This window comes from Homo sapiens, chromosome 11 (genome assembly GCF_000001405.40).
Source record: "Homo sapiens chromosome 11, GRCh38.p14 Primary Assembly".
NCBI classification, from domain to species: domain Eukaryota; kingdom Metazoa; phylum Chordata; class Mammalia; order Primates; family Hominidae; genus Homo; species Homo sapiens.
This window is the reverse complement of record NC_000011.10, coordinates 112,134,567-112,143,070: the sequence shown is the minus strand read 5'-3', so window position 1 is coordinate 112,143,070 and position 8,504 is coordinate 112,134,567.

The window sequence follows — 8,504 nt, the reverse complement described above, 5'->3', positions numbered from 1 at the left end:
TAAAAAATTCATAGTTTGAAAACATTCTACATTGTTAATTGGCATATTAATTATACTTAATATAATTATTTTTAAATCTTTTGGGTTATTAGTCCTAATGACAAAAGATATTGATATTTGAACTTTCTAATTTTTAAGAATATCGTTAAACCATCAATATTTTTATAAGGAGGCCACTTCACTTGACAAATTTCTGAATTTCCTCCAAAGTCAGTATATTTTTAAAATTCAGTTTGATCCTGAATCCAGCAATATATAAAAGGGATTATATACTCTGGCCAACTGACATTCATCCTAGGAATGCAAAGATGGTTTAATATCCTAAAATCAATTAACATAACATACTATATTAATAAAGTATCAAAACAGTATTCTCATCTTTTTTTCTTTTTTCACAATTCCTTGGTTACACTATCATCTCAATAGATGCAGAAAAAGCATTTGACAAAATCCAATTCATAATAAAAATTCTCAAACTTGAAAGAGAACATCATAAAGGCATCTATGAAAAACCTACAGCTAATATCATACTTAACGATGAAAAACTGAATTATTTTACCCTAAGATCAAGAATAATGCAAGCATGTCAGCTCTTGCAACTTCTATTCAACATTGTACTGGAGGTTCTAGCCAGAGCAACCATACAATAAATAAAAATAAAAGGCACCCAGATTAGAAAGGAAGTCTTTATTTGCAGACAACATGGTTCTTTATGCAGAAAACCGTCAGGAATACACACACATGTTAGAACTAATAAGTTCAGCAAGGTTGCAGGTTGCAATATCAATATGCAAAAATACATTGAAGGCTGGGCTCAGTGGAGATGGCATGTACCTTTCGTCCCAGCTACTTGGGAGGCTGAGGTAGGAGGATCACTTGAGGTGAGGAGTTTGAGGCTATAGTGCAATGTGATCTTGCCTGTGAATAGCCACTGCACTCGAGCCTAGGCAACAAAGTGAGACCCCGTCTCCAAAAAAAAAATGGTATATTGGTATTTCTGTATATGAACAATGAATGATCTGAAAACAAGAAAATTCCATTCACGATGGTATTAAAAAAATAAAATACAAATAAATTTAGCAAAATAATTATAAAACTTGTACATCGAAAATTTCAAAGCATTCTGAGGGAAATTAAAGATGATCTAAATAATTGGAGAGACATTCTATGATCACTGATTGGAAAACTCATTCAATATTGTTAAGATAACAATTGTCCCCAAATTGATGCATGCATTCAATTTAGTCTTCATCAAAATTCCAGCAGGGTTTTTGCAGAAATTGACAAGCTGTACCCAAAATGTATATGGAAATGAAAAGACCCAGAAGAGCAAATAATTTTTTAAAAACAAAGTTGGAAAACTTTTACTTCCTAATTTTAAAACTTACTATAAACCTAAAGTTATCAAGACCATTTAGTACTAATACAAGATATATAGATCAAAGGAACAGATTTCAGAGTCCAGAAATAAACTCTAATATTTATGGTTAATTGATTTTTGACAAAGGTGCCAAGTCAGTTTGATAGAGAAAATAAGGCCAGGCACAGTGGCTCATGCCTGTAATCCCAGCACTTTGGGAGGCTGAGGTGGGTGGATCACTTGAGGTCAGGAGTTCAAGACCAGCCAGGCCAACATGGTGAAACCCTGTCTCTACTAAAAATACAAACATTAGCCAGGTGTAGTGGCATGTGCCTATAATCCCAGCTACTCAGGAGGCTGGGGCAGGAGAATCTCTTAAACCTGGGAGGTGGAGTTTGCAGTGAGCCAAGAGTGTGCCACTGCTCTCCAGCCTGGGCAACAGAGCAAAACTCTGTGTCATAGATAGAGAAAATAGTATCTTTTCAACAAATGATAATGGGACAATTGGATATCCACATGCAAAAAAAAGATTAACTTAGACCCTTACCTTATACCTTATACAAAACTTCATTCAAAATGAACCAGAGACATTAATGTAAGAGTGGAAGCTATAAAACTTTTAGAATAAAGCATACAAGAAAATGGTAAAATCTTGGGTTCAGCAAAGGTTTTTTAGACGTGACCCGAGAAGCATGATCCATAAAAGAAAAATAATTAACAAATTTGACTTAACCAAAATGCATTATTTTGGGGTTGAGGGGGAACTGGGTGAAGGATACATGGGACATCTCTCTACCACTCTTGCAACTTCCTGTGAACCCTTAATTATTTCCAAATAAAAAGCTATTCTTTTCTTTCTTTAGAGAGAGTGCCTCACTCTGTCACACAAGCTGGAGTGCAGTGGTGTGATTATAGCTCACTGCAGCTATAATTCAAGTGATCCTCCTGCCTCAGCCTCCCAAGTAGCTGGGACTAAAGGCACATGCCACCATACCTGGCTAATTTTTTTTTAATTGTAGAGAAGGGAGTCTTGCTATGTTGCACAGAGTGGAAAATAAAAAGTATTTTAAGAAAGAAATAACTTTTGCCCTCAAAAGACACCATTAAGGTAATGAAAAGCGGCCAGGCAAGGTGGCTCATGCCTGTAATCCCAGCACTTTGGGAGGCCAAGGAGGGCGGATCATTTGAGCTCAGGAGTTGGAGATGAGTCTGGCCAACATGACAAAACCCTGTCTCTACCAAAAATACAAAAACTAGCCAGGCATGGTGGTGGGCGCCTGTAATCCCAGCTACTCAGGAGGCTGAGGCGGGAGAATCACTCGAACCTGGGAGGTAGAAGTTGCAGTGAGCCAAGATTGTGCCAGTGCACTCCAGCCTGGGCAACAGAGTGAGACTCTGTCAAAAAAAAAAAAAAAAAAAGAAGGAAAGAAAAGAAAGAAAGAAAAAGAGAAAGAGAGAGAGGGAGGAAGGAAGGAGAGAGAGAAAGAAAGAAGAGAGAAAGAAAGAAAGAGAAAGAAGGAAGGAAGGAAGAGAAAAGCCACAGACAGGGAGAAAGTATTTGGAAATCACATACATTGCAAAAAAACTTGTACCCAGAATATACAAAGAACTCTTAAAAACAAACCAAATAAAAAAAGACTCAATTTTAAAATGCGCAAAAGATTTCAATAGACATTTTTCAAAGAAGATATACAAATGGCAAATGAAAAGATGCTTCACATCGTCAGTCATTAAGGAAATGCAAATTTAAAACATAATGAGATACCATTTCACATCCACCAGGAAGGCTATAATCAAAAAGACAAACAGTAGCAAGTGCTAGCAAGGAAGTAGTGAAACAAGAATTCTCGTTCCTTACCTGCGGGAATGTGAGTTAGCATATAGCCATTTTGGAAAACCATTTTTTATTTTTTATTTATTTATTTATTTTTGAGACAGAGTTTCGCCCTCTCGCCTAGGCTGTAGTGAACTGGCTTGATATCAGCTCACTGCAACCTCCACCCCCCAGGTTCAAGCGATTCTCCTGCCTCAGCCTCCTGAGCAGCTGGAATTATAGGCAGCCACCAGCACGCTCAGCTAATTTTTTTTGTATTTTTAGTAGAGATGGGGTTTCGCCATGTTGGCCAGGCTGATCTCAAACTCCTGACCTCAGGTGATCCACCCGCCTAGGCCTCCCAAAGTGCTACTATTACAAGTGTGAGCCACCGGGTCTGGCCGGAAAACCATTTTTCAGTTGCTCAAAAGGTTAAGTATAATTTTTTTATACAACTCAGCAATTCCATTCCTACGTATCTACTCAAGAGAAATAAAACATATGTGCACACAAACACTTGTACATTAATGTTATAGCAGCATTATTCATAATAGCCAAAAAGTGGAAACAGGCTAAATGTCTAAAAACTGGTGAAGGGATAAACAAAATGTAGGAGATCCTTAATGGAAGACAAATCCTAACAGAAAGCAGTAAAATACTTATATGAGCTATATCACGAATGATATAGCATAACTTCAAAACATTATGCTAAGTGAAAAAAGCCACGCGTGAAAGGTTATATATTATATGATTCTACATATATGAAATGTCCAGAAAAGGCAAATCTATGGAGACAGGAAAATAGATTCATGTTTGCCTAGGGTTAACGGATATGAAGAAGCTTCATAAAAAGATATGATCTTATTGGAATGATGAAAAAAACATTTTCAACCTAGATATGGTGGGCTGGGCATGGTGGCTCACGTCTGTAATCCCAGCACTTTGGGAGGCTGAGGCAGGAGGATCGCTTGAGTCCAGGGGTTCGAGACCACCCTGGATAATATAGCAAAACCCTGTCTCTACAAAAAAGTAAAAAATTAGCTGAGCATGGTGGTGCACACCTTGTAGTCCCAGCTACTCAGGAGGCTGAAGTGGGATCACTTGAGCCCAGGATGTCAAGGCTGCAGTGAGCCAAGATAGTACCACTGTACTCCAACCTGGGCAACAGAGTAAGACCCTGTCAAAAAAAAAAAAAAAAAAACACCCACTACATATGGTGATGGTTGTACAACTTGGTGAATTTACTAAAAATTATTGTCTACATAAGATGGGTGAATTTGTGGTATACAAATTATACTTCAATAAAAGTATGTTTTAAAAGAGACAAAAAAGCCAATTAAATATTTATATTAGCTTTTATTGTTTTTTCTTTCCATAAAAATAAAACATATCTGTTAAGAAATTTTAGGAAATACAAAGAAACAGAAAGAAGAAAATGTAAACCATCCACCCTTCCATCTTCAGATAAGCATTTTTGACATTTTGGCATATAACTTTATAATTTTTCTTTCCATAGGAATGTAGGTTGAAAAATAAAAACACTCTCTATCCCTTCCCCCAGACAGAATCTAGTATACCTTTACAACCATCCCTGCAAAGCTTCAGTTGAAATATGAACAGGCAAATGGAGGCAATTTTGGACGGGCAAAGGGGAAAGCTGAGCTCAGACTGGGTGTCAAGGACGGAAAGAGCTGAACGGTTCTGCCTAAGCAAGAAGGGGGTGCTCTGAGAGGGAGGCCACAAAGAAAGTCCTAACTTAAATATTAAAAATAAAAAAAAAATTTAAAAAACCAGAGCCTGAAACAAGGACTTGTGTGCAGGTGTGTACGTAATTTATTTGAGAGGCGATCCCAGCGAGCAGGAGTGAGAAAAGGTGGAGAGTAAGAGAGCGACGGTGCAAACATCAGTAGAAGGTGGGGCATCAAGGTTGTCCCTGTGCACCTGATTTGTCCAGCCCCTCCTGAGGAGCCTGCAGAATGCTTCCCAATGGCCCACCTAAATTCAGGAAGAGAGATACGGCATGGTATTTACCTACTAGTTCCTGACACCCAGTCATTAAAGGTTGCCTGTGGGTGTGTTAACCCCCACACTTCCAAGCTGTGCTCACCCAGGCAGATTTACCTTCAGTGGAAAGTGAACAGACTCAGGCCAGGCATGGTGGCCCACGCCTGCAATCTTAGCACTTTGGGAGGCCAAGGCAGGTGGATCACGAACAAGGTCAGGAGTTTGAGATCAGCCTGGCCAACATGGTGAAACACTGTCTCTACTAAAAATACAAAAATTAGCTGGCACAAAATGTGGTGCATGCCTGTAAGCCCAGCTACCCGAGAGGCTGAGGCAGGAGAATTGTTTGAGTTTGGGATGTGGAGGCTGCAGTGAGCCGAGGTCATGCCACTGCACTCCAGCCTGGGCAACGAAACAAGACACTGTCAATAAAAAAAAAAAGAAGAAGAAAGAAAGAAAGAGAGAGAGAGAGAAAGAGAGAGAAAGAAAGAAAGAAAGAAAGAAAGAAAGAAAGAAAGAAAGAGAGAAAGAAAGAAAGAAAGGAAAGAAAGAAAAGAAAGAAAGAGAAAGGAAGAGAAAGAGAGAAAGAAAGAAAGGAAGGAAAGAAAGAAAAAAGAAAGAAAGAGGAAAGAAAGAAAAGAAAGAAAGAAAAAAGAAAGAAAGAAAGAGAAAGAAAGAAAGAAAGAAAGAAAGAAAGAAAGAAAGAAAGAAAGAAAGAAAGAAAGAAGGAAAGAAAGAAAATGAACAAACTCACTGCACATTTGAGGCAATATTATTAGTATGAGCTGGCATGGAACCATCCACTACACTTACTTCCAAGTACCCTTTTTCATCAAATCTAAGATGCCATTGATTGTAAGATGCACCATTATTTTATGTACCATGAAAAAAGAAAAGACACTGCCAACTAAACTACGACATGCCTTCAACTGTAAGGCATATTCTTTTTTTTTTTTTTTTTTTTTTTTGAGACGGAGTCTCGCTCTGTCGCCCAGGCGGGACTGCGGACTGCAGTGGCGCAATCTCGGCTCACTGCAAGCTCCGCTTCCCGGGTTCACGCCATTCTCCTGCCTCAGCCTCCCGAGTAGCTGGGACTACAGGCGCCCGCCACCGCGCCCGGCTAATTTTTTTTGTATTTTTAGTAGAGACGGGGTTTCACCTTGTTAGCCAGGATGGTCTCGATTTCCTGACCTCATGATCCACCCGCCTCGGCCTCCCAAAGTGCTGGGATTACAGGCGTGAGCCACCGCGCCCGGCCAAGGCATATTCTTATTTCAGAGATAATAAGATGTGAAAAGTCACTGTCTTGGAATTGATGAAAATCAGTACACAATTTAGAACTATTTGCATTACTCTAATGTGATGACCCCCATCTCCATAAACCTTTAATAAAGTCTGCTAAATATGTAACACTATGTGTGGCTGATTTTTTGTGGAAATTAGGGAGAATAGATGAATTTCAAGTCTGAATTAGTGTGAATTAAAGAGGAGCATGCTTTGAATATCAAGATGATCCTTGTTGGAGGCAGCAAGCCATAGAACCAAAGTTTTCCCAGAGTCTCGAGAATCTGAAGAAACTTTGAGAACAACACTGAACTTTACTCAGATGGGGGTTAGAGCCAATCTTAAGATCCTAATAGACAGGGAGAGTACTTCTGTAAAAAAAAATACAGAACAAGCATCAGATAAACAGACTGTTTTATGTCCTTTCCCTCTTAATTACTTAGTTTGATCACTTTTTTTTTATTGGCTAGAATCTGACATCAGTCTTTGCCAATTTGGGTCTTAGAAAATTAAATCTGAAGCTGAATATGGTGGCACACGTCATATAGTCCCAGCTACTCAGGAGGCTGGGGTGGGAGGATCACTTGAGCCCAGGAGGTCGAACTGCAGTGAGCCATGCTTGTGCCACTGTGCTGTACCCTGGGTGACATAGCAAGACCCTGTCTCTAAAATAAAAAAAATTACATTAAAAAATTTTTTAAAGAAGGAAACTAAAGGATTGAGTCATGCCCTTTTCTTTCTTTTTCTTTCTTTCTTTCTTTCTTTCTTTCTTTTTCTCACTCTTTCTTTCTCTCTCTCTCTCTCTCTTTCTTTCTTTTCTTTTCTATTTTTGAGACAGGGTCTCACTCTTGTCACTCAGACTGGACTGCGGTGGCATGATCATGGTTCACTGTAGCCTCAAACCTGTGGACTTAAGGGATTCTCCCACCTCAGTCTCTCGAGTAGCTGGGACTACAGGTGTGCAAGGTAATGCCCTGCTGACTTTTTTATTTTTTGTAGAGACAATGTTCCACTATGTTGCCCAGGCTGGTTTTAAACTCCTGGGCTCAAGTAATCCTCCCACCTCGGCCTCCCAAAGTGCTGGGATTATAGGTGTGAGCCACTGCACCCAACCCCATTCATTTTCTCAGCTTCTTTGGTCTCGCTTCTTTATATGTTGACTTCTTATAATATGATGTGGACATTTAAAGATGCAGTGTGAAATGATGAAATGAGGAGAATGGGTTTTGCAGACACACAACCTTGTTTTATATCTTGTTCCATAACCCAAGGCTTGTCCCAAAACCAAGTACAAAGTGTACTTTGGACACAATCTCTCTGAGGCTTGGTTTTCTTACATGTAAATGGGAATGATAAGAAATACCTACCTCATAAGATGGTTGTACGGATTAAATGAGATAAAGCTCCCAGTGGTATCTGGTACTGGAACACCATAGCTAAGAAGTATTATTTCCCGGCCGGGCGCGGTGGCTCACGCCTGTAATCCCAGCACTTTGGGAGGCCGAGGCGGGTGGATCATGAGGTCAGGAGATCGAGACCATCCTGGCTAACAAGGTGAAACCCCGTCTCTACTAAAAATACAAAAAATTAGCCGGGCGCGGTGGCGGGCGCCTGTAGTCCCAGCTACTCGGGAGGCTGAGGCAGGAGAATGGCGTGAACCCGGGAAGCGGAGCTTGCAGTGAGCCGAGATTGCGCCACTGCGGTCCGCAGTCCGGCCTGGGCGACAGAGCGAGACTCCGTCTCAAAAAAAAAAAAAAAAAAAAAAAGAAGTATTATTTCCCTTCCTACACTTCTCCATACACCCACCACTCACCCCCACCAGACCTCACACACTACACATCACGTGCAGGAGAGAAAAGAGGCCTTTCCTCCCTACAAGAACTAATCCCACCCTGTTTTATGTCATTTCTCTTCCTGCACTGTGTAAACTCATTTCCCACCCTAAAGGAATAAAAGCATCATTGCCTCCTGTCTTTCTGGCTCGTAGCCGTATGTTGCTTTTGCCCTATCTTTCAACACATGGGCTTTATAACTGAAAGAAAA